General features: G+C 49.6%; 1 protein-coding gene across 10 annotated transcripts in view, besides 2 other annotated features; it reads left to right on the forward strand.

Annotated features, from left to right (window-relative positions):
* ARHGAP23 (Rho GTPase activating protein 23) overlaps positions 1 to 10,608 on the forward strand; it is a 93,111-nt gene extending 82,503 nt beyond the window's left edge. For 7 of the 10 annotated variants that reach the window (XM_006721991.2, NM_001199417.2, XM_006721993.4 and 4 more), the window contains one exon: positions 8,167 to 10,608. In XM_006721991.2, the coding sequence (XP_006722054.1) occupies positions 8,167 to 9,195 (1,029 nt within the window). In that variant the 3' untranslated portion in view covers positions 9,196 to 10,608. Of the gene's footprint in view, positions 1 to 4,496; positions 4,716 to 8,166 lie in introns of those variants that run through there. The other 3 variants (XM_011525076.3, XM_011525077.3, XM_047436477.1) reach the window with 1 other exon arrangement.
* Positions 6,979 to 7,806: an enhancer, noted in NCBI's record as "H3K4me1 hESC enhancer chr17:36665002-36665819 (GRCh37/hg19 assembly coordinates)". NCBI's record gives its function as "activates a minimal SCP1, AML or CMV promoter by ChIP-STARR-seq in primed H9 embryonic stem cells {active_cell/tissue: H9 hESC(primed)}" and the evidence as "EXISTENCE:reporter gene assay evidence [ECO:0000049][PMID:30033119]".
* Positions 7,807 to 8,623: an enhancer, noted in NCBI's record as "H3K4me1 hESC enhancer chr17:36665820-36666636 (GRCh37/hg19 assembly coordinates)". NCBI's record gives its function as "activates a minimal SCP1, AML or CMV promoter by ChIP-STARR-seq in primed H9 embryonic stem cells {active_cell/tissue: H9 hESC(primed)}" and the evidence as "EXISTENCE:reporter gene assay evidence [ECO:0000049][PMID:30033119]".
* Positions 10,609 to 26,643: the final 16,035 nt, after the last annotated feature.

Raw genomic sequence — 26,643 nt, forward strand, 5'->3', positions numbered from 1 at the left:
CAACAATGAAAACTTCAGGACCAGATGGTTTCACTGTTAAATTCTACCAAATATTTAAGGAATTTTTTAAATTTTTAAACAATTTACTTTAATAATTTTAAAATATTCTAAATAGAAAATAGTATAATTTTAAATATTGATATATTTAAATAGTTATTTAAATATTTGAATTATTTAAATGTTATTTAAATAGTTATTTAAGAAATAATACCAATTCTCCACTATCTCTTTTGGAAGATAAAAGAGGGTGGCTGGGCACCATGGCTCACGCCTGTAATCCTAGCACTTTGGGAGGCTGAGGTCGGATCTTGAGATCAAGAGTTAAAGACCAGCCTGGCCAACATGGTGAAACCCCATCTCTACTAAAAATACAAAAAAATTAGCTGGGTGTGGTGGCATGCGCCTGTAATCCCAGCTACTCAGGAGGCTGAGGCAGGATAATTGCTTGAACCTGGGAAGAGGAGGTTGCAGTGAGCCGAGGTCGTGCCACTGCACTCCAGTCTGGGCGACAGAGCGAGACTCCGTCTCAAAAAAAAGAAAGGAAAATAGAAGAGGAGGAAACACTTTCCAACTCATTTATGAGGCCAGCATTACCCTGATACCAAAACCTAACAATGCTTTTGAAAAAGATAGGGCTAATTCATTTGATAATACCACAAATACTTGTTGAACGTCTACTTTATATCAGTACTGTGCTGGGTACTGAAAATATAAATAATGAGCCAAACAGATAGGTTCCTGCCCTCACAAAGCTTATCTTCTAATGAGAGACAGACACTAAGCTTATGAAGAAATAGACTATCTGTCTGGCAGGTTTGGAGGCACAGTGGAGGCAGAAACCAGATGGAATGAGCTAATAAAGTGAGGGAGGGAAAAGCGCATACGTAGACCACTCTTGTGAGAAGTCCGATTGTGAAGAGATATTTACAGAACAAAAATGGAAAAATATGTGGCTTGAGGGAAACTTTCATTAAAAGATGAAAGCAGCCAGGCATGGTGGCTCACGCCTATAATCCCAACACATTTGGAGGCCGAGGCAGGAGGATCCCTTGAGCCCAGGAGTCCGAGACCAGCCTGGACAACATAGTGAGACCTCAACTCTACAAAAAATGCAAAAATTAACCAGGCATGGTGGGGCATGCCTGTAGTCCCAGCTACTTGGGAGGCTGAGGCAGGAAGATCATTTGAGCTTGGGAGGTTGAGGCTGCAGTGATGAGCCGTGATCATGCCACTGCACTCCAGCCTGGGCAACAGAGCAAGATCCTATCTCAAAAACAAACAAACAAACAAACAAAAAAAGACGAAAGCACATATTTACTTGCCAATGGGAATGATCCAGGTGAGAGACAGAGAGAGAGAGGAAGAGCTGGGCCCAGAGCCCGTGAAGCAGCAGTAGCCTGTGCTCCTAGCAGATGCATCCCCAGGTGTAGTAGGAAGAGAGGGAGGTGGCAGGGGCACACTGGCAGGCAGTGTTGGCAGCAGGTCATTGGGGTCACTCCCAGCTGATGGCTCTTTCCTCAGCGAAGTGGAAGGTGAGGACCTCTGCTGGGCGTGAAGGTGGCAGGGAAAGTCTGAGCAGAGTGAAGGAAGTCTGAAATGGGTCCCATGAAGCAAGGCAGATTTCCTGAAGGGGCCGAGAAGCATCATGGGCAGGCCGAGGCCTCTGAAGGCTGCGGCCCCTTCTCGAGAGCCAGCACTTTGCCCAGCAGCCGTGCCCCGCCCCTTTGGGCCTGGCTTCTCCACACTCCCCGGAGAGCCCCTTCTGAGTCCCTTCTGGCCAGAAGATGTCCTCATTTGCTTCCTGTGACCCCACCGTGTCTCCAGTGGACTCAACACTGACCTCCCCAGAGCTCACAGGCCACTGCCTCCCGGAAGCCTCCTGGCTTGAAATTCCTTCCTCCTGAGACGCTAGCAGTTACCGCTTCCCAGTCTGGGCCTGCCTGACTCCTGCATTAACCTGGGAACTCCTGCAGGAGGCCTTCTCAATCACAGGGCCTTGAACAATAGAACGTGCTTTTCAGAGAGTACGTCTTTACTGTAAACTGACTCAGAGACTTCACTGTGACCCAGTGAGTTCATCACAATCACTAGCATGAGATGAAAGAGGAGGGAATGCACATTTACTGAGCACCTACTAGGTGCCAGCCAGTATGCAGATAACTTTTCACGAACATCGGTTTCATTTCATTTTTACGGAAGACCCTTGAATTTTGTACCATCCCCATTTTACAGATGTGGGGAACCAAGGCTCAGAGAACTTAAGTAACTAGAAGTTTGGGCATATTCTTGGGCCTCAGGCAGGGGAGCTGGTTAGGTGGCCTCCTTCCTTGGTTGGTGCTCTGGTATCTGAGTTCTGATCCTCTGTTCTCAGGCTCTGAGTGTTTCTTGATTTTCTGGCACAGGGACTGGCTCTGTCCTGAGCCTGAGCTGAAACCAACCGGCCAAGCCTCTAAGAAACGGAGGCACAGACGAGGCTGCCGGTCTATTAAGTACAGCGATAGGAATAACTGTTGCAGGGACAGGGACGTTGAGTTGTGTGTGCCGCAGTGGTCTCAGTCTCATCTACTGGGGAGACCAGGAATCGGAGTCAGGGAAGCAGGAGGCACCAGGCATCTGAGAGCCTGCGGCCTCCTGTCCCGGCTGTAAGGAAGGGGCTGCCTCGGGCACCAGGGCCTGGCCTCCCGCCAGGCTGTGAGCTCTGAGGGTGGGCACAAATCCTGCAAGTGCCGGACATTCACGACTGCCAGCCTCTGTCTCTCTTGCCTGACTCTAAAACCCAGGTCTGTGATGGTCAAACTGTGTTCCCTGGAGCCACCATGGGGTTGTGACCACCAACAGGTGTATGACAGGACCAAGCGTGCAGGGATCCAAGCTCCCACGGCCTCCATCTGAGCCACTCTTGGTTCTGTCTCACATTGCTGGGTCTCTAGGGAGGATTCGATTTGGACAGAGTGCTCCCAAGCTCATCAGAAACCATTGTTCTAGATGTGACAGTCCTGTCTGTAGACGTTCTCCAGGCTGTGTCCAGGACACCCAGGCGGCGTCGGTGCCCCAAGTTACAGCCACATTCTGATCTTGCCTCCCTGTGTGGATGGTTTAGGCTGTCCCGGGTAGGAGTGTGGCCAGGCACACATGGCAGTCTCTCAGCTCCGTGGTGGGTGGAGTGGAGCTGTTCATTACTCAGAAGCCTCCCTTATCATCTTTTTTTTTTTTTTTTTTTTTTTTTTTTTTTTTTTTTTTTTTTTTGAGACAGGTCTTGCTCTGTCACCCAGGCTGGAGTGCAGTGGCCTGAACACAGCTCACTGCAGCCTCTAACTGCTGTGCTCAAGTGATCCTCCTGCTTCAACCTCCTGAGTTAGCTGGACTACAGGCACACACCACCACTCCTGCCTAATGTTTTTGTATTATTTTGTAGAAATGGGGTCTTGCTTCTTTGCGTAGGCTGTTCTTGAATTCCTGGCTTCAATGGATCCTGCTGCCTCGGCCTCCCAAAGTGCTGAGATTACAGGCATGAGCCACGGCACCCCACTCTCCTTATCATCTTAATTCCAAGTTCTTGAGGAAGGGGACCACTTTTGTCTTCTCTGGTGGTCCCTCACCTACTGCTTAGCTTTCTTTACAGCCTGCAATAATCCCCGAGCACCCCCACTGGTACAGGGAGAAGTCTAGCTCCTGACCAGGCTCTGATTTCCCCGGCCCTGCCCTATTCAAGTTCCTCAAATTCCTTGACCCCAACCCTTGCCCCATAAGAAACCTCCCCATGACCCTGACCCTGACAGAGAACTGGCTGTGAAAATTTTTGCATTGACAACAGATATTGGAATGCAGGGATTCCCTATCTACTTCAGGCACCTTCAAGAATCAGAGGAGGCCAAGCATGGTGGCTCATGCCTGTAATCCCAGCACTTTGGGAGGCCAGGGTGGGGAGATCACTTGAGGCCAGGAATTTGAGACCAGCCTGGCCAATATGGCAAAACCCCGTCTCTACTAAAAATACAAAATTAGCTGGGGGTGGTGGTGCACGCCTGTAATCCCAGCTACTCAGGCGGCTGAGGCAGGAGAATCGCTTGAACTGGGGAGGTGGAGGTTGCAGTGAGCCAAGATTGCACCATTGCATTCCCAGCCTTGGCAATAGAGTGAGACTCCGTCTCCAAAAAAAGAAAAAAGGAAAGTTATGCACTCTTGCTCCAGAACGACACCTATCTACACAAATCCTGTGGCAAGTTCAAGGAGTTTATGGACCCCCAAAGCCAACCCAGGGACTCCAGTTAACAGCACCTTCTCCAGAGTATTCCGGCTGGTAATTAGCTTGTTTGGCAGAAGGTGTCAGTCCAGCTGTCAATAATGCCTTTGGTCATCGCTGATTCCTAAGTTTAAAGTATTCAACAATATGAATAGTTACAATTTATTGAGCATTTGCTGTGTTACTGTGCTTAGAATTACTAATCCTCACAAATGCCCTGTGAGTTAGAGATAAAATTGTCCTTATTTTGCAGTTGAAGAAACAGAGGCCAGAAGAGCTTCTGTAACTTGCCCCAGGTCTCACAACCAGCAAGTCGCCTGCTCCAGAGCCTCCCCTGTGAGACAGAACCCGTTAGGAGATGAGGCCTGCCCTGGGTGACCCTGCCCGGCTGTGAGATTAGAGCTTGAGGGCAGGGTGTGTATAAAGTCATCTCAGGCTGCTGTAATAAAATGCCATAGCTAGGTGCCTCAGACAACAGAAATTGATTTTCTCACAGTTCTACAGGTTAGAAGTCCAAGATCAAGGTGCCAGTGTGGCTCATTTCTGGTGAGGGTTCCCTGCCTGTCTTGTAGATGGTAGATGGCCACCTTCTCACACTGTGTCCTTACAAGGCAAGGCAGAAAGAAAAGAGAGCGCAAGAGAGCCCAAGCCCTCTGGTGTCCCTTCTAATAACCGCACTAATCCCATCAAAAGGTCCCACCTTCACCTAAACCTAATTATCTCTCAAAGGCTCCACCTCCAAACTGGGGGTTAGGGCTTCCACATGTGAGTTTGGGAGGTACACGATTTAGTCCATAGCAGTGAGTGAAACCAGCTGATGACTGGCTGGTGGAACTGGGCTCATTTCTGTCTGGGTCTCTGAGCACTGCACTGGCCAGGTTTGTAAGCCCACTCCACAGCCATGTGCTTGACACCTGGCAGGTGCTCCGTGTGTGTCGGATGAATACACTGGACAAAAGAAAAAAAGGCTGTGGGCGCAGTGGCTGATGCCTGTAATAATCCCAGCACTTTGGAAGGCCAAGGTGGGAGGATCACTTGAGGCCAGGAGTTCAAGACCAGCCTAGCCAACATGGTGAAACCCCGTCTCTACTAAAAATACAAAAATTAGCCAGGTGTGGTGGTGTATGCCTGTAATCCCAGCTACTCGGGAGGCTGAGTCATGAGAATTGCTTGAACCCGGGAAGCAGAGGTTACAGTGAACCGAGATTGCGCCACCTACACTCCAGCCTGGGTGACAGAGGGAGACTCCGTCTCAAAATAATAATAATAATAATAATAATAATAATGCTCTAGCCTGGTGCAAGGGTCCCCTGTAAGCTCTGCATGGAGCCCCTGCCTGCACCTGGACACCTCTGGTGACAGAGACCTCCATCATAAGATTGCTGTGACAGGGAGAAAGTTCATTATAGTGACCTACATCCAGGTCCTTGTCACTTCCGTCCATTGCTCCTGCTGGCCCCCTGCTTTCCTGCAGTATATCCTGGATTAACTCCCTGATCTCTCTGTGAATCTGCTGACCTCTGCATTCCTTGGAAGAGAAATCAGTCTGACCTCGTTGCTTCTGGAACCAGCTGGGATGAGAGGGTAGTTTGATCAGGTGATCCTAGCGGCCTCTTAAGTCTCTCAGAGAGCACTGGCCAGGAAAGAAAGCAGTACTGGCCACCATATGCTCCAGGCTGATCCTAGCAGTGCAACCACATTGCACAACTCCAGGGGGTGCCTTCTGGTGTTGTGCATTGTGGGCAACCATGGCCCAGGAGCCACATGCCTGTGACTCCTGAGTCCCTGACATGCTCTGGTTTTCTCAGAACTAATTAATGTGAGAGCAAGGACAGTGGCTGCAGTGGCCACAAGAGGCATCTGGGTCTCCATTCATTATTACACCATGGCTGAAACAAGAGGTGGTCTGTGAGGAGGGGTTGAAAGGGCAGCGTGACCTTGTCAGGTCATTCCAGCCCAAGACAGGAACCAGTCCCAGCGTCTGCTTCTACAAGGCTTCCTGTGTTAAGGGGACTTCATTCACCAATTGTTTGTTCATTTCATGTTTATTGAGCACCTGTTATGTGCCATGCAGAAACAACCAAGTCACAGCCTTTGCTCTTAAGGAGCTCAGAGTTTGATGAGGCTGATGTGAGAAGAGCTAGGAGCATAGTGAGATGACAGGAACATAGAGAAGTGATCTCCCATCTCAGGCAAAGGGAGGGCTGGGAAGTGGCTGTACAGAGGAAGCCATGTTCGAGCTGGGCCTTGTAGGGTGAGTAGGAGCTCATCCAGCAAATAGGGCAGGGGGACATTAAGGGCTGGCAGCAATGTAACAGTGTAGGTCACATCAAAGGAAGGGTTGGTAGGGCTGTATTTCCACAGTGAGGGCTGTGTTGGGGTTGGGGTCAGGGCAGAGCAGGGCAGTAGGCTGGGAAAGTTGGGGCTGGGTTATGAAGAGCCCCATGTGCTGAACTGGGGAACTTGTGCTTTATCCTGGTGGGTGCTGGGGCATGCAAGCTTCTGAGCAAAGCTGGGTGAGGATCAGATTCCTGCTTCAGAATGGTGGCTCTGGAGGAGAGACCCGGGCTGGGGCAAGGGTGGAGGCAGGAAACCCTATTAGGAGGGGCAGGAGGGCCCAGAGAGGGCAGAATGAGGGCCTGCCGGAGGAGGAGGAGGAGTTGGCTTTGGGAGCCATTTCAAAAGAATCCAGGACTTGGCTGTGGGTGGAGGAGAGAGGGAGGAGTCACAAGACCGCCCTAAGGTGAGCAGTGTGAATGGAGGCAGTTTGGGGCAGGGGTAGGTAGGATGCTGTGGTTCCGGATAGGTGAGTTTTAAGAGCCTACAGACACCCAGGTAGAAATGGATTCTCAATGGGAAGAAGAGTCCCGGAGCTCAAGTGAGTGTGGTGTTGGACAGGGAGGCCTGGATAGCAGCGCTGCTTGGGAATGGTATTTTCTAGGGAACACGAACAGAGAAGGCAAAGGGGCCAAAAACAGTCCTGGGAACACTGAGTCTCAGTGGGGAAGGCAGGGGAAGGCAGGGGCGGGGCGGGGGGCGGGCAAGAAGAACCTCCCAAGAGGCAGAGGAGAGGCCAGAAGGGCGGATGAAAACCAGCTTCCAGAAGGCCATGGGCGGCAGCATGGGCCCTCCTGGGAAAGTGTGAAAGGCCAAGGCCCCAAAACACCACAGGGTGTAGCAGTGAGGGCTGGTTCAGGTGAGAACAGCGGCATGAAGTTGCCCAACTTGGGGTTGGAAATCACAGTTTGGGAGCGGCTCCAATCCAAACCATGACACCATACGGGATCTTTCAGCCACTTGCAGGGGCGGAGCTGGCGGCGGGATTGACCTGGGATTGGGGATTGGCGGGGTGGGGAGCTGGTGGGGTCCGGCGGAAAGGGGAGGACGTGAACTTGGGCGGGTTGCCCTGGAGAGGCCTGTAGATGCTGGGCAGGTGGGAAGGCAGGTTTCCAGGTGGCAGCGGGTGGAGAGGAGGTGGGGGACTTGTGGTCAGAGAGCGCCCCTGGCGGGGATTTGGGGATCAGCATGCAGGAAGCTCTGGTGATGACACCCCAGGGGCGTGTGTGAAACGGATTCAGGCTGCCAAGCGTTATTCACTGTGGAGAGATTGTCATCACCAGAGCCGTGTCTAAAGGATTTAGCCAGGGCTGGATACGGAAAACAGAATGGAAGGGGGCTTTGGGAGACCAGCCCACCTCACAAGAAAGAGCTGAGAGCCTAGATTTGGGCCAGCGGGGGTAGTCTCTGGACGGAGGGCGGCACGGGGCTGGAGGAGGAGCGTTTTATGATGCGGCCGTGGGTGCTGGCCTTGGCTGGGGCTTGTGGCGACTGGGTGCCGTGACGTGGGGGTGGACCGGGTAGAGCGGGGTCGGCAGGGGGCCGAGTCCGGGCGCCCCCCGCATCCTGACCTGTCTCCCACACAGGGTTCGTGGGCCCCCAAGAAGGAGCCGTACGCCCGGGAGATGCTGGCGATCTCCTTCATCTCGGCCGTCAACCGCAAGCGCAAGAAGCGGCGGGAGGCGCGGGGGCTGGGCAGCAGCACCGACGACGACTCGGAGCAGGAGGCGCACAAGCCTGGGGCGGGGGCCACAGCGCCGGGGACTCAGGAGCGGCCGCAGGGGCCGCTGCCTGGCGCCGTCGCCCCCGAGGCCCCCGGACGCCTCAGTCCCCCGGCGGCGCCGGAGGAGCGGCCGGCCGCGGACACGCGCTCCATTGTGTCGGGCTACTCCACCCTGTCCACCATGGACCGCAGCGTGTGCTCGGGCGCTAGCGGTCGGCGGGCAGGGGCGGGGGATGAGGCGGACGACGAGCGTAGCGAGCTGAGCCACGTGGAGACGGACACTGAGGGCGCGGCGGGCGCGGGGCCTGGGGGGCGCCTGACACGCCGGCCGTCCTTCAGCTCGCACCACCTCATGCCCTGCGACACTCTGGCGCGCCGCCGCCTGGCCCGGGGCCGCCCAGACGGCGAGGGCGCGGGCCGGGGCGGTCCCCGCGCCCCGGAGCCGCCCGGCTCGGCGTCGTCCAGCAGCCAGGAGTCGCTGCGGCCCCCGGCGGCGGCGCTGGCCTCCCGGCCCTCGCGCATGGAGGCGCTGCGTCTAAGGCTCCGCGGCACGGCGGACGACATGCTCGCCGTGCGCCTGCGGCGGCCGCTGTCGCCCGAGACCCGGCGGCGCCGGAGCAGCTGGCGCCGCCACACCGTGGTGGTGCAGAGCCCGCTGACTGACCTCAACTTCAACGAGTGGAAGGAGCTGGGCGGAGGGGGCCCCCCGGAGCCTGCGGGCGCGCGGGCGCACAGTGACAACAAGGACTCCGGACTCAGCAGCCTGGAGTCCACCAAGGCGCGGGCCCCGTCGTCCGCTGCCTCGCAGCCGCCCGCGCCCGGGGACACGGGGTCCCTGCAGAGCCAGCCCCCGCGCCGCTCGGCCGCCTCCCGCCTGCATCAGTGTCTGTGATCCCCACCTCCCGCGCCGCTCGGGCGCCACCCCTCCCTAGAGCCCCTTTGGAACCAGGAGGCTTCACCAGCCTGCACCTCCTCTTCTGTGGCCCCTGGGTGCATGGTGTGGGTGGAGGGCGCAGCAGGCAGTGTCTCTAGTTGGTGTGCTGGAACTGGCAGGGCAGAGGAGAAGGCTGGGGCCGGACTAATTGAATGGAAGGGGGTTCCAGAGGTGATGAGCAGAAGAGGAGGGGGCGTGGGCTGCTGGGGTCTGTGTCCCTGCACACATGCGCCCGATAGGTCCTTCTGAGCCTTTCTGTGGCTGCACTTGGGGACCCTTGTGGACCATGGGGTGTGGCTAGGGAACCCCTAAGTTTCAGACTAAAGGAAAGATCCTGGGTGATGCTGGCTTTTTGCTTCTTTCTTCTGCCCTCCCACCTCAGCTTGTAAGCGGGGATGTGTGTATGTCTGGGGAGAGGAGGTGTAGGGTGCGTATGTCCATGGGGGGAGGGGCTTGTGTGTGCAGTCATTGTCCCAAGGTGTTTCCAGTAGCGACTTCTGTCCCCCTATCCCCACCCTGGTCCCCACTTTGCGCCCCCGGGCTCCCTGCCTTTGGTGCACACAGGATCCTGCCCGCCCCCCTTGCCAGAGCCAGAGAAGGGGGTTGGGGCCATTCCAAGGAGGCAGGACTGAAACCCTCACCAGGGTTACTCCCCAACATCCTTTTGCCTGAGTCACCCTCTAAGCGCTTTAACCACGGGCAGCTGCCTGTTCCCCAGACAGTTTTTGGTGGGGGGGGTCCAGGGTCCCCCTTGCTGGTACCTCCCTCACCCCTCTTTTTGTTTTTCCATCTGTGCCTGTTCCTTCCACAGCCCAGGCACACAGAAGCCCACCTTCTTCCCCTTAGGAGGAGGGATAGTCAACACCCCTGCTGTCTCTCTGTCACTCACACACTGATTTATGGGGTCTGAGCTGGGCTGTTCCTGCAGGATGGACAGGACCCAGCGCCCTCTTCTCCCCACAGGCTGTAAATAGACTTCCAATCACCAGGCCAGCCCCCACACACCCTCACTCATTCCAGGGAAGCCCAGGTAGGTGGTGAACCCGCTGCCACGTCTATCAGTCCTCTTGTTTTATGCAAAGATTTACTGTAAAGTAGATTTCTTTCCCTCCCTCCCCCATTCTTTTATTGTAAATATTGTCTCTAAATGTGTAACATATTATAAAGAATTTATAAGGATTTTTAAAGATGTTTTGCTCATTTACAAAAGTGTTGTAACAGTGTTGGACAAAGCCTTCCACCCCATGTCCGCATGGCTCCTTTCACTGTGTCCTTGACACACCTCTCTGGCAACAACTAAAATTTCCTGCTTCTGAAAAGTCCTGTCTTAAAAGTACAGTCTATATCTTGGAAATAAATAGCTTTCCTCAAGGCATGAGTCAGCTGTCTCACTTGTTTTGGAGGGAAAGGGCCAGAGTGGGGCTGGGAGACAGGAGAGGTACCTGGCCCAGGGAAGGAGGGCGATGGGGACTGGACCAAGGGGTGGCAGGACGGAGGCAGACTTTTTCCTGGTGACCTTTTTGTAAGTGTCCTGGGGGACTGGTCAATGACACAGGGACAGATATGAGTTGGAAGAGTGGGTGGCCCTCATTGCTGTGCGAAGTTTCCAGGCACCTGCTCTCTATTCCTACAGAGCCCAGGCAGGTGCACAGGCACCTTCTCAGGCCTACCTGGAGCTTCACAATGGTTCCAGCAGTCCTGCCCCGCAGACAGGAGGCTTGGGCCAGCTGTCGTAGGCACTCCAGGCCCAGATAATATTGCAAAAGGACAGAATGGGTTTTGCCCGTTGTCCCCTTCACATGTGTAAGCTTACAACATGGGGTGGGCGTCCTTCTGTGCCGGCGGTTGCTTTGTAGTTGCCCCAGCCAGTTTACAGGCTGCCTCTGCTGAGCCTCGCAGCTTTCTGTAGGAAGACCAGGTGACAGTCATTAAAGGGAATCTAGGGAGGGCTGGGGCAGTGGCTCACGTCTGTAATCGCAGCACTTTGGGAGGCCAAGGCGGGAGCCCAGGAATTTAAGACCAGCCTGGGCAACATAGTATAGTCCCTCCCCCTCCTCTATTATATATATACATATATATATATATTTAAATCTGTATATATATAAAGAGAATCTAGGGAGGAGCCCAGGAGCTGGGAAGAGCTCAGTTGCTCACTGAATCCTATGCCCCACCCTCCCAAGTCGTTTCTGTTGGGCAAATGAGCTTATAGCATTGTAGGCTCTGCCAGCTCCAAGGGCTTTACACGTCTTATTATTTTTTTTATTTTTATTTTTTTTGAGACCGAGTTTCGCTCTTGTTGCCCAGGCTGGATCTCGGCTCACTGCAACCTCCACCTCCCAGGTTCAAGTGATTCTCGTGCCTCAGCCTCCCAAGTAGCTGGGATTATAGGCATGCGCCACCACACCAGGCTAATTTTGTATTTTTAGTAGAGATGGGGTTTCTCCACGTTAGTCAGGCTGGTCTCGAACTCCTGACCTCAGGTGATCCGCCCGCCTCGGCCTCCCAAAGTGCTGGGATTACAGGCATGGGCCACCACACCCGGCCAACACGTCTTAAATCAGTCGTCCAACACTCTTGAGCACACCACCATTGTTTTCTGCATTTTATATATGAGGAAATGGAGGCACGCAGCAGTGTCATAACTTGCCCAGCCCAAGATCACATAGCTAGTAAGCTGTAGAACCAGGGTAAGTTTAAGTCCAAAGAAAGGACACAGAGATGGGGTAACAAGCCCATTGGGCCACCTTCTCCAGACTGTAGTAGACTTTGAGTGAGAATGGATGAAAACCCTGTGCTCTCCTTCAAAAATAAAGTAGGAATAGGCCTGGCACAGTGGCTCATGCCTATAATCCCAGCACTTTGGTAGGCTGAGGCAGGGAGCTCCTGAGGCTAGGAGTTCGAGACCAGCCTGGCCAACACGGTGAAATCTCATCTCTATTAAAAATACAAAAATTAGCCGGGCGTGGTGGCACATGCCTGTAATCCCAGCTACTCAGGAAAGCTACTCGGGAGGCTGAGGCAGGAGAATCGCTTTAACCTGGTAGGTGGAGGTTGCAGTGAGCCGAGATTGTGCCACTGCACTCCAGCCTGTGTGACAGAGTGAGATTTTGTCTCAATAAATAAATAAATAAATAAGGAATGAAAATATCTCTAGATTTATTTTTATTTTTATTATTCTATTTATTTATTTTTGAGACAGGGTCTTGCTCCATTGCCCAGGCTGGAGTGAAGTGGTGTGATCACAGCTCACTGCAGCCTGGACCTCCTGGGCACAAGTGAACCTCCTGCCTCAGTCTCCAGTGTAGCTGGGACCACAGGCATGTGCCACCACACTCAGCTATTTTTTTTTTTTTTTTTTTTTTTTTAGTAGAGACAAGATCTCATTATGTTGCCCAGGCTGGTCTTGAACTCCTGGGTTCAAGCGATCCTCCTGCCTTGGCCTCCCAAAGTGCTGGGATTACAGGCGTGAATCACTGTGACGGGCCTATTTATTTATTTGAGACAGGGTCTCACTCTGTCACCCAGGCTGGAGTGCAGTGGCGATCGAAGTTCACTGCAGCCCGGACCTTCTGGGCTCCAGCGATTCTCCCACCTCAGCCTCCCAAGTAGCTAGAATTGCAGGTGCGTGCCACCATACCCAGCTAATTTTTTAATTTCTGTAGAGACAGGGTCTCCCTATGTTGCCCAGGCTGGTCTCAAACTCTTGGGCAACCCTCCTGCCTCAGGCTCCCAAAGTGCTAGGATTACAGGTGTGAGCCGCCATACCCCCACTGATATCTCTAGATTTTAAAAAACAGAGAATTTATCACTAGCAGACATGCCATATAAGAAATAGTAAAGGCAGCCTTCAGATTGAAACGGAAGTACACTAGATGGTAATTTGAGTCCACGCGAATGAATAGAGAACACTGTAAGGATAGCCACATAGGCATTATGAAAGACAGTATAGGCCAGGCTCGGTGGCTCAAGCCTGTAATCCCAGCACTTTTGGAGGCCAAGGCAGGTGGACACTTGAGGTCAGGAGTTCGAGACCAGCCTGACCAACATGGTGAAACCCTTTCGCTACTAAAAATACAAAATTAGCTGGGTGTGGTGGTGGGCACCTGTAATCCCAGCTACTTGGGAGGCTGAGGCAGGAGAATCACTTGAACCTGGGAGGTGGAGGTTGAAGTGAGCTGAGACAGTGCCACTGCACTCTAGCCTGGGTGACAGAGCAAGACTCTGTCTCAAAAAAAAAAGAAAGAATAAACATTTTTGTAGTAATTATTTTCCTTTTTGTCTTTAACCCTGTCTTTAAAAGATAACTACATAAAGCAATAATTACAAAACTGTGTTGACATATAAAGGTGTAATTTGTATGACAATAATGGCATGAAGGACTGGAGAGGAATGGAGCTATATTAGAGCAAAGTTTTTAAACACTATTAAAATTAGGTTACTATTAAGGTGAACTAGATTGTTCTAAGTTAACATGCTAATTGTAATCCCTAGGGCAACCACTAAAAATAACTCAAAAAATTGTAAATGAAACAAAAAAACAGAATTAAATAGATGATATATCAGAAAATATTGGCCAGCCATTGTGGCTTATGCCTGTAATCCTAGGACTTTGGGAAGTTGAGGCAGGAGGATTGCTTGAGACCAGCCTGGGCAATCTAGCGAGACCCATCTCTATAAAAAAATTTTTAAAAGTTAGCCATGCATGGTGGCACATGCCTGTAGTCCCAGCTACTTGGGAGGCTGATGTGGGATGATCGATTGAGCCCAGGAGGTGAGACCCTGTATTAAAAAAAAGAAAGAGGCCAGGCGCAGTGGCTCAAGCTTGTAATCCCAGCACTTTGGGATGCCGAGGCGGGTGGATCACGAGGTCAGGAGATCAAGACCATCCTGGCTAATGCGGTGAAACCCCGCCTCTACTGAAAATACAAAAAAAGTAGCTGGGCGTGGTGGCAGGCGCCTGTAGTCCCAGCTACCCAGGAGGCTGAGGCAGGAGAATGGCGTGAACCTGGGAGGAGGAGCTTGCAGTGAGCTGAGATCGCACCACTGCATTCCAGCCTGGGCGTCAGAGCAAGACTCCATCTCAAAAAAATAAAAATAAAAATAAAAAAAGAAAGAAAATATTTATTTTACACTCAAGAAGGCAGAATCAGGCTGGGGGCAGTGGCTCACGCCTGTAATCTCAGCACTTTGGGAGGCTGAGGTCAGAGGATCACCAGAGGTCAGGAGTTTGAGACCAGCCTGGCCAACATGGCGAAACCCCGTCTCTACCAAAAATACAAAAATTAGCCGGGTGTGGTGGTGTGTGCCTGTAATCCCAGCTACTTGGGAGGCTGAGGCAGGAGAATCACTGGAACCCGGGAGGCGGAGGTTGCAGTGAGCCAAGATGGCGCCATTGCACTCCAGCCTGGGGAACAGAGTGAAACCGTGTCTCCAAAAAAAAAAAAAGAAAGAAAGAGAGAGAGAGAGAGAGGGTGAGAGGGAGGGAGGAAGGAAGGAAGAAAGAAAGAAGGCAGAATCAAGGAATAGAGGAACAAAAAAGGCAAGACATATGAAAACAATTAGCAAAATGGCAGACATAAATCCTAGCTTATTAGTGATACATTGAATGTAAATGAATTTAACACCCCAATCAAAAGGCAGAAATTGGCAGAATGGATTATTATTTTTTTCCTTTTATAAGACTGGGTCTTGCTCAATTGCCCAGGCTGGAGTGCAGTGGTGTGATCCTAGATCACTGCAGCCTCGACATCCTGGGCTCAAGCAATCCTCCCACCTCAGCCTCCCAAATAGCTGGGACTACGGGGCCACGTCACCACGCTTGGCTAATTTTAAAAACAAAATTTTTGTAGAGATGAGGTCATGCTATCTTAACCAGGCTGGTCTCAACCTCCTGGGCTCAAGTGATGCTCCCACCTGGGCCTCCCAAAGGGCTGGAATTACAGGTGTGAGCCACCGGGCCCATCCCAGAATGGATAAAATAAAATAAAATGATCTAACTGTGAGAGATTTACTTTAGAGTCAAAGACACAAGAGTTGAAAGTAGAAGGATGGAAAAAGAAACCATGTGAGGAGTTATTAAAAGAGAGCTAGGGTGGCTACACAAGCATGAGACAAACTAGACTTTAAGACAAAAATTCTTACTGAAGCCTGGGCGAGGTGGCTCACGCCTGTAATCCCAGCACTTTGGGAGGCTAAGATGTGTGGATCACCTGATGTCAGGAGTTCAAGAGTAGCCTGACCAACATGGTGAAACCCCATCTCTACTAAAACTACAAAAATTAGCTGGGCATGGTGGCGTGCACTGCAGTCCCAGCTACTCGGGAGGCTGAGACAGGCGCTCCTAATTGCTTGAATCTGGGAGGCGGAGGTTGCAGTGAGCCGAGATAGCACCACTGCACTCCAGCCTAGGCGACAGAACAAGACTCTGTCTCAAAAAAAAAAAAAATTGTTACTAAAGATACAATATCTTTTATAATGATAAAAGAGCCAGTTTATGAGGAAGATAAAATGATTGTAAACATATATACTCCTAACAACAGATCCCAAAATACATGAAGCAAAAACTAATAAAACTGAAGGGAACTGAACTGAATTAGACCATTCAATATAGTAGTTGGAGACTTCAATACCCCACTTTCTTTTTTTTTTTTTTTTTTTGAGGCGGAGTCTCACTCTGTTGCCCAGGCTGGAGTGCAGTGGCACGATCTCCGCTCACTGCAAGCTCCGCCTCCGGGGTTCACGCCATTCTCCTGCCTCAGCCTCCCGAGTAGCTGGGACTACAGGTGCCCGCCACCATGTCCGGCTAATTTTTCGTATTTTTAGTAGAGACGAGGTTTCACCGTGTTAGCCAGGATGGTCTCGATCTCCTGACCTCGTGATCCGCCCACCTTGGCCTCCCAAACTGCTGAGATTACAAGCTTGAGCCACTGCGCCCGGCCCCCACTTTCAATAACGGATAAAACAACGAGGCAGAAGATCAACAAGGAAGTAGAAGCCTTGAACAACACTGTAAGCCAAGACCTGAAAGACATCGAAACACTCCACACAGCAGCAGAACACACATTGTTCTCAGCTACGCGTGACACACTCTTCAGGGTAGACTTATACTAGGCCTTAAAACAAGCCTCAATAAATGGAAAAGGATTGAAATTACATAAAGTCTGTTCCCCAACTGCAATGGAATTAAATTAGAAAATGACAACCAAGGAAATTAACAAATACGTAGAATTTTTTTTTTTTTTTCGAGGCGGGTCTTGCTCTGTCCTCCAGGCTGGAGTGCAGTGGTGCTATCTCGGCTCACTGCAGCCTCCGCCTCCTGGGTTCACGTGATTCTCCTGCCTCAGCCTCTCAAGTAGCTGGGACTGCAGGAGTGTATCACCATGCCCGGCTAATTTTTGTATTTTTAATAGAGACAGGGTTTCACCATGTTGGCCAGGCTGGTCTCGAACTCCTGACCTCCAGTGATCTGCCTGCCTTGGCCTCCTAAAGTGCTGGGATTACAGGCATGAGGCACCACGCCTGGCTAGAAATATGTAGAAATTTAAAAACACTCCTAAATAATCAATGAGTGAAAGATGAAATCACAGGGAAATTAGAAAATATGTTGAGATGAATGGAAACTAACACACAACATAACATAACTTACTGGATGCAGCTAAAGCAGTGCTTAGAGAGACATTTGTAACTATGTCAATATTAGAAAAGAAGAAAGATTTCTAATTAATAACCTAAACTTCCACCTTAAGAAACTAGAAAAAGAAGAGCAAACTCAACCAAAAGAAAGCCAAAGGAAGGAAATAATAAAGGTAAGAGTAAAAATAAATGGAATAGAAAATAGAAAAAATAGAGAAAGTCAGTAAAACCAAAAGTTTTTTCTTGGAAAAGATCAACAAATTGGCAACTGTTTAGCTAGACTGACCAAGAAAAAAAAAAGAGAAGACTCAGATTAATACCTCAGGCATGAAAAGGGAGCTATCAATACTTATAAAAAGTAAAGGGGGGCTGGGTGCAGTGGCTCTCGCCTGTAATTCCAGCACTGTGGGAGGCCGAGGCGGGTGGATCATTTGAGGTCAAGAGTTCAAGACCAGCCTGGCCAACATGTGAAACCCTGTCTCTACTAAAAATAAAAAAATTAGCCAGGCGTGGTGGCGGGCGCCTGTAATCCCACCTACTCAGGAGGCTGAGGCAGGAGAATCACTTGAACTTGGGAGGCAGAGGTTGCAGTGAGCTGGGATCGTGTAACTGCGCTCCGCCTAGAAGACAGAACAAGAGTCCATCTCCACACACACACACACACACACACACAAAAGTAAAGGGATAATAAGGGAACACTGTGAACAACTGCATGCCAGCAAGTTAGATAAATAGAAGAAATGAAAAAATTCCTAGAAAGACATAAATTACCAAAACTGACATAAGAAGGAGAACTCATAAATAATCTGAACAGACTTACAACATGGAAAAAGATTGAATTAGTCATTTAAAAACTTTCAACAAAGAAAATTCCAGACCCAGATGGCTTCACTGGTGATTTCTATCAAATATTTAAAGAAAAATTAATACAAATCCCTCACAAACTCTTTCAAAAAAAGAAGAGGAAGCAACCGTGAGGCCAGTATTACCCTGATACCAAAGCTAGAAAAAGATATCACAAGAAAACTACAGACTAATATCCCTTGTGACTATAGAAACAAAAGTCCTCCACAAGCTACCAGCAAACCGGTTGGGTGTGACAACTCACACCTGTAATCCCAGAACTTTGGGAGGCCGAGGCAGGCAGATCACATGTGGCCAGGAGTTGGAGACCAGCCTGGCCAACATAGCAAAACCCTATCTCTACTATTAATAAAAATACAAAAATTAGCTGGGTGTGGTGGCACACACCTGTAATCCCAGCTACTCTGGTGGCTAAGGCACAAGAATTGCCTGAACCCAGGAGGCAGAGATTGCAGTGAGCTGAGATCACGCCACTGCACTCCAGCATGGAAGAGAGAGCGAGACTCTGTCTCAAAACAACAACAACAAAAAGATACAAGCAAAACAAATCAAGAAACGTATACAAAGGATTATACACCATGACCAAGTGGGATTTATCCCAGGAATACAAGGTTGGTTTAATATTTGAAAATCAATCGATGAAACACACAAAATTGAGAGAATAAAGAATAAAAATTACATGATCATCTCAATAGATGCTGAAAAAGCAAGACAAAATTCAACACTCTTTTATGATTATAAAATTCAATAAACTAGGAATAGAAGGAAACTTCCTCAACCTGATAAACATACCTATGAAAAATCTGTAGCTAGGCCAGGCAGGGTGGCTCATGCCTATAATCCTGGCACTTTGGGAGGTTGAAGTGGGTGGCTTGCTTGAGCCCAGGAGTTTAAGACCAGCCTGGGCAACATGGTGAAAGCCCGTCTCTACAAAAAATACAAAAACTAGCCAGGCGTGGTGGTTCATACCTGTAGTCCCAGCTACTTGGGAGGCTGAAGTAGGAGGATTGCTTGAGCACAGGAGATCAAGGCTGCAGTGAGCCATGATTGAGCTACTGCACTCCAGCCAGGGTGACAGAGGGAGACGCTGTCTAAAAAAAAAAAAAAACTACAGCTAATATCGTATTTCATGCTATTAAATTAATAGACTGAGAGCTTTCCCTCTAAGATCAGGAAACAGACAAGATGTCCACTCTTACCACTTCTAGTCAACATTCTACTGGGAGTTTTAGCCCAGGCAATTAGGCAAGAAAAAGAAATAAAAGCCATCCACAAATAGAGATGTAAAACTGTCTCTATTTGCAGATGACATGAGATTGTATGTAGAAAATTCTAAGGAATCCATGAAATAGGAAACTCCAAGGGGCCTCAAATAGTGAAAACAAAATTTAAAACAAAGTAGCAGTACTTACACTTCCCAATATCAAAACTTACTACAAAGCTGCAGTAATCTCAACAGTGTGGTACTGGCATAAGGCTAGATATATAGACCTATGGAAAAGAATTAAGAATCCAGAAATAAACCCAAACATTTATGGTCAACAGATACATATATTTTTTACATCCATGATACACACTGGATGTCAATTTGACACTTGACAACGTTACCAAGACCATTCAATGGGGCAAATGATAATCTTTTCTAAAAAAATGGTGCTGGAGGCTGGGTGCAGTGGCTCACGCCTGTAATCCCAGCATGCTGGGAGGCCAAGGTGGACGGATCACAAGGTCAGGAGATCGAGACCATCCTGGCTAACATGGTGAAACCCCGTCTCTACTAAAAATATAAAAAATTAGCTGGGTGTGGTGGCGGGCGGCTGTAGTCCCAGCTACTCGGGAGGCTGAGGCAGGAGAATGGTGTGAACCTGGGAGACGGAGGTTAGTGAGCTGAGATTGCACCACTGCACTCCAGCCTGGGCGATAGAGCAAGACTCCATCTCAAAAAAAAAAAAAAAAAAAAGGTGCTGGGACAACTGGATAACCACATGCACAGGAATGAAATTGGACCACTATCTCACTCTGTCTACAAAAATTAACTCAAAATAGATCATAGACTTTAAAATAAAATCTAAAACTCTTAGAAAAAAAAATAAGGTAAATCTTCATGGCCTTGAATGTGACAATGGATTCTTAGATTTGGCACCAAAAGCATGAACAATGGAAGAAAAAACAGAAAAATCTAAAACTTCTGTATGTCACGAGACATCATCAAGAATGTGAGAAGAGGCCAGGCCGGTGGCTCACGCCTGTAATCCCAGCACTTTGGGAGGCTGAGGTAGGTGGATCCCTTGAGCCCGGGAGTTCGAGACCAGCCTGGCCAACATGGTGAAACCCCATCTCTACTAAAAATACAAAAATTAGCCGGGTGTGGTGGCAGGTCCTGTAATCTCAGCGCTTTCAGACGCCGAGTTCAAGACCACTCTGGGCAATATAGCAGGACCCCCTTTCTACCAAAAAAATGTTTTTCTCTTTTTTTTTTTCTTTTTTGAGATGGAGTCTCACCCTGTTGCCTAGGCTGGAGTGCAGTGGCACGATCTCAGTTCCTTGCAACCTTCACCTCCTGGGCTAGAGTGATTCTCCTGCCCCAGCCTCCCAAGTAGCTGGGATTACAGGCGCCCACCACCACGCCTTGCTAATTTTTATATTTTTAGTAGAGACGGGGTTTCACCATGTTGGCCAGGCTGGTCTCAAACTCCTGACCTCAAGTGGTCTGCCCACCTCAGCCTCCCAAAGTGCTAGGATTATAGGCATGAGCCACCATGCGCAGGCAAAAAAAAATTTTTAATTAGCGAGGTATGGTGGTGTATGCCTGTAGTCCCAGCTACTTGGGAGGCTGAGGTGTGAGGATCTTCTAGCTGCGACACCAAAAGCACAAGCTATAAAAGAAAAAAAATTGATAGATTGGACTTCATAAAAATTAAAAACTGTGTGTGTCAAAGGATACTATTAGGAAAGTGAAAAGACAACCAATCATTGGATGGAAGAAAAAAAGTGTGTGTGTGTGTGTGTGTGTTTTTTCCTGAGACAGGGACTCACTCTGTGGCTCCAGTTGGAATGCAGCAGTATGATCATGGCTCACCATAACCTCGACCTCCTGGGCTCAAGTGATCCTCCTGAGCTGGGATTATAGGCATGCACCACCACACCCGGTGGGAGAAAACATTTGCAAATCATATATTTGACAAGGGACTCATATCTAGAATATATAAAGAACAATAAAATTCAACAATAAAAAGACAACCCAATTTGGATAAAAATAAGCAAAGGATCTGAAGACATTTATCCAAAGAAGATATGCCAATAGCTATTATATACTTGAAAATATTTTCTTTTTTTTTTTTTTGAGATGGAGTCTCGCTCTGTTACCCAGGCTGGAGTGCAGTGGTTCACCGCAAGCTCCGCCTCCCGGGTTCACGCCATTCTCCTGCCTCAGCCTCCCGAGTAGCTGGGACTACAGGCGCCCGCCACCATGCTCGGCTAATTTTTTTGTATTTTTGGTAGAGATGGGGTTTCACTGTTAGCCAGGATGGTCTCGATCTCCTGACCTCGTGATCCGCCTGCCTCAGCCTCCCAAAGTGCTGGGATTACAGGCATAAGCCACCGCTCCCGGCCAAGATTTTCAACATCAGTAGTCATCATGGGAATACAAATCAAAACCATAAGCTACCTCTTCATACACATTAGGGTGGCTGCAGTAAAAAAACAGACAATAACAAGTGTTGAATGTGGAGAAATTAGAATGCTTATTACATGGCTGGTGGGGCAGCCACTTTGGAAAACAGTTTGGCAGCTCCTCAAAATGTTAAACCTAGAGTTATTGTAAAACCCAGCAATTCTATTCCTTAGGATATACTCAAGAGAGCTGAAACATATGTCAACACACAAAAAAAAACTTGTACACAAATGTTCATGTACTGACAACCTAAATATCCATCAACTGATGAATGGATAAGTAAAATATGATATATCCATACAAGAGAAAATTATTCAGTCTGGGCGCGGTGACTCATGCCTGTAATCCCAGCACTTTGGAAGGCCAAAGTGGGTGGATCACTTGAGGTCAAAAGTTCAAGACCAGCCTGACCAACATGGTGAAACCCCTTCTCCACTAAAAATACAAAAGTTAGCCGGGCATGCTGGCACACACTTGTAGTCCCAGCTACAAGTCCCGACTTGCAGTCGGGAGGGTGAGATAGGAGACTCGCTTGAGCCTGGGAGGCAGAGGTTGCAGTGAGCCGAGATCATGCCATTGCACTCCAGCCTAGGCATCAGAGAGAGACTCTGTCTCAAAAAAAAAAAAAAAGAAAAAAAGAAAAAAAAAAGAATGAAATACTGAGGTAGGAGGTGGGACTCGACTCCAGAGTCAGTTCTTGGACACTGGACCAAATTGAGAACTAGCTAAAACAAAGATGGAGTGGAAGCAGGTCTCCATAAGACACACCTACCAGTGCAGCATTTCAGTTTACCATTGCCACGGCAACAGCCAGAAATTACCACCCCTTTCCATGGCAACGACCCAATGACCCAAAAGTTACCAAAATTTTCCTACAAATTTCTGCACAATCTACCCCTTAATTTGCATACAATTAAAAGTGGGTATAACTATGAGTGCAGACCCACCTCTGAGCTGCTACTCTGAGCACAAGGCCTGTGGGGTAGCCCCGCTCCACAAGGAACAGCACCTCTGCTGCTGTGCACTGTCGCTTCAATAAAAGCTGCTGTCTAACACCACCGGCTCACCCTTGAATTATTTCCCGGACAAAACCAAGAATCCTCCTCTGCTAAACCCCAATTTGGGGGCTTGTCTGCCCTGCATCAGTACTGATACATGCTACAACATAGATGAATTTTGGAAACATGTAGAAAGAAGATTGTCACAAAAGACGACATGTTGTATAACTCCATTTGTGGGAAGTGTCTGCAATGGGAAATCCATACAGATAGAAAGTAAATTACTAATTCCCTAGGGCTGTGGGTCGGGGTGAGGAGGTAGGTGGCAGAGAGGAGGGTGCAGGAATGGGGAATGACTGTCAAGTGGTCAGGGTTCGGGGAGTTGAAATAATCTAAAGTTCGATTGTGGTGATGGTCACACATATCTGTGAATATACTAAAAATCACTGAACTGTAGACTTTAAAAGGGTGCATTTTGTGGTATGTGAAATAAATCTCAATAAAGCCGTGTAACAGGCCAAGCATGGTGACTCACGTCTGTAATCCCAGCACTTTGGAAGGTGGAAGTGGGAGGATCACTTGAGCCCAGTAGTTTGAGACCAGCCTGGGCAATATACTGAGACCTGGGCTGTACAAAAAACTAAAATTGACCAGGCATGGTTGCACATACCTGTAGTCCTAGCTACTCTGGAGGCTGAAGTGGGAGGTCTGCTTGAATCCAGGAGGTCGAGGCTGCAGTGAGCCGAGATAGTACTACTGCATTCTAACCCTGGTGACAGAACAAGACCCTGTCTTGAACAAATAAATAAATAAATAAATAAATAAATAATTTAAAAAAGCCATAACAGGTCGGTCGTGGTAGCTCGTGCCTGTAATCCCAGCACTTTGGGAGGCTGAGTTGGGCAAATCACTTGAGGTCAGGAGTTTAAGACCAGCCTGGCCCACATGGTGAAACCTCGTCTCTACTAAAAATACAAAAATTAGCTGGGCGTGGTGGTACCTGCCTCTAGTCCCAGTTACTCAGGAGGCTAAGGCGGGAAAATCGCTTGAATCCAGGAGGCGGAGGTTGCAGTGAGCTGAGATTGTGCCACTGCACTCCAGCCTGGGCAACAGAGTGAGACTCTGTAAAAAAAAAAAAAAAAAAAAAGAAAAGAAAAAAAAAGCAGCCATACAAACAATAACAAACTGTACTCTAAAACTTGCTCTAGGCCAGGCTTGCTGGCTCACGCCTGTAATCCCAACACTCTGGGAGACTAAGGCAGGAGGATCACTTGAGTCTAGCAGTTCAAAATAAGCCTTGGTAACTCTGTCTCTGCAAAAATTGAAAAATTAGCCAGGGGTTGTGACTTGCACCTGTAGTCCCAGCTACTCAGGAGGCTGAGGCCAGAGGATCCCTTGTGCCCAGGAGTTTGAGGTTGCAGTGTGTTATGATGGCGCCACTGCACTCCAGTGTGGGTGACAGAGCAAGACCTTGTCTCAAAAAAATAAAATAGGATAAATAAAATACAGTAAAACTTGCTCTGCCTATCCAGTGGGGGTTTTTTTTTTTGGAGATGGAGTTTCGTTTTTGTTGCCCAGACTGGAGTGCAGTGGCGTGATCTCAGCTCACTGCAACCTCCGCCTTCCAGTTTCAAGCGATTCTCCTGCCTCAGCCTCCCGAGTAGCCGGTACTACAGGCATGCGCCACCACACCCAGCTAATTTTTTGTATTTGTAGTAGAGACGGGGTTTCACCATGTTGGCCAGGATGGTCTCGATCTCTTGACCTCGTGATCCGCCCGCCTTGGCCTCCCAAAGTGCTGGGATTACAGGCATGAGCCACTGTGCCTGGCTTCCAGTGGGGTTTGATATATTTCATAGGAAACTTTTTTTTTTTTCTTTTTTTTAGACAGAGTCTTGCTCTGTCACCCAGGCTGGAGTGCAGTGGTGCAATCTCGGCTCACTGCAACCTCCGCCTCCCGGGTTCAAGCAATTCTCTTGCCTCAGCCTCCTGAGTAGCTGGGATTACAGGCGCCCGCCACCACGCCCAGCTAATTTTTGTATTTTTAGTAGAGACGGGGTTTCACCATGTTGGTCAGGCTGGTCTCGAACCCCTGACCTCGTGATCCACCTGCCTCGGCCTCCCAAAGTGCTGGGATTACAGGCGTGAGCCACTGCGCCCGGCAGGAAACATTTCTTTGGGAAAACTCCAAATCTATGAGGGCTTAGGTGAAAGGAATAGAGATTTTTCCCTGCCCTTCTAGTATGGACATGGAGAGGCAGCATGATTGTCACCCTGAACTAAAACACAGGCTGAGATTTTGAGTGAAGATTTCTGGAACGATGACAAAGGGGAGGGGATGGAGGGATCCCCCTGCCAGGTGTGCCATTATGAGTGGTATCAGCCAGTCAGCACCAGTGAGCTTCGAGGAAGCCTGTTCTCAGTTAAGGGGCACAGATGCCACTAGCCCCAGGCCCCCATCCTGTGGATCGTGCTCTGTCACTCTGAGCTCAGGGACCACTTAAGCCACTCAATGATCAAACAGTCAGAAAATGCCCAGGGGGGCCAAGAGAGGATGTGCAGACAGTGAAGGAGAGAAGCCGAGGGCTTCCCCGACCACTACACGTCAAGTAGCGCCTGCCTCCTCTCCATCAGGAACCTGAGCTCTGAAGGCAGTCAGATCGCGCTCAAATCTTGGCCAGAGTCAACCTTCCCCACTGATAGCACAGAGGTAATAATATCTATTGTCTGGGTTGTTAGAAGATTAACGAACTCTCCATAAATGGTAGCAATTAGTATTATAAAACATTAATAAAGCATGGCTATTGGGAGGGATAAGTTCCGGTTTTTCTTTTTTTTTTTTCTTTTGAGACGGAGTCTCACTCTGTCACCCAGGCTGGAGTGCAGTGGCGCGATCTCGGCTCACTGCAAGCTCCGCCTCCCGGGTTCATGCCATTCTCCTGCCTCAGCCTCCCGAGTAGCTGGAACTACAGGCGCCCGCCACCACGCCCGGCTAATTTTTTTGTATTTTCAGTAGAGACAGGGTTTCACTGTGTTAGCCAGGATGGTCTCGATCTCCTGACCTCGTGATCTGCCCGCTTCTGCCTCCCAAAGTGCTGGGATTACAGGCATGAGCCACCGCGCCAGGCCTATTTTTCATTTTTGAGACAGGGCTGGGGACTGGCTTTCTGTAATCTCAAGGGTTGCTGGGCTTTGGTGGGTGGGTGACTCACGGAGGGGCATTCCCTGCAGACAGTAGGCAGTATTGTATTTGAGACAGGGTGTCCCTCGGTCACCCACACTGGAGTGCAGTGATGCCATCATAGCTCACTGAAACTTCAAACTCCTGGCCTCAAGCAATCCTCCCACCTCAGCCTCCCCAGTAGCTGGAACCGCAGGTGCATGCCACTCTGATTAACTTTTTTTTTTTTTTTTTTTTTGAGACAGAGTCTCATTCTTGTCGCCCAGGCTGGAGTGCAATGCCATGATCTTGGCTCACTGCAACCTCTGCCTCCCGGGTTCAAGTGATTCTCCTGCCTCAGCCTCCCCAGTAGCTGGGATTACAGGTGCCTGCCACCACACCCAGCTAATTTTTGTATTTTTAGTAGAGACCGGGTTTCACCATGTTGGCCAGGCTGGTCTCGAACTCCTGACCTTGTAATCTGCCCGCCTCAGCCTCCCTAAGTGCTGGGATTACAGGCGTGAGCCACCACGTCCAGCCCACTCTGAGACAACTTCTGAAACAACATGTCAGTTCATGACACTTTCTTACTTTAAACCCTCCTATTGTTTTCCATGGCACCTTCCTTACCACAGCCCATAAGGCCTCACATGAGGGGGCTTCTGCCCACCACGCTGCACTTTCCCCTCCTCACTCTTCTTGGATTTCCTTCATTTTCCAGAACCCACTGGTTACGTCCCACCCAGGGCCTTGTGCCTGGGACCCTCAGCCACCAGCGCCCCCAAAGCCCACTCCTCACCCACCCACAAGGTCTCCTCTCAAATGTGACTGACCCTGCTACTCCCCGCCACATCTGCCACTGTGCCTCTTTTTTGTGTTCTCCCAGCACCTGCCTTGGTTGAGCTCGGGTGTCTGTGTTCTGTCTGCTGGCTGTCCTGGCAGCTCTCCCGCCAGACAGAGCCCCAGCCCCAAGGAGTGGACGAGCAGCGCCTCACAGGGAGTGCATCCTGGATAGGCATCTGGCGGGTGAATGAGTGCCTGCCTCCTTCCAGGCGTGCAGCGGATGGTTCCGTTTGTTA

The sequence above is a fragment of the Homo sapiens genome, chromosome 17 (genome assembly GCF_000001405.40).
Source record: "Homo sapiens chromosome 17, GRCh38.p14 Primary Assembly".
NCBI classification, from domain to species: domain Eukaryota; kingdom Metazoa; phylum Chordata; class Mammalia; order Primates; family Hominidae; genus Homo; species Homo sapiens.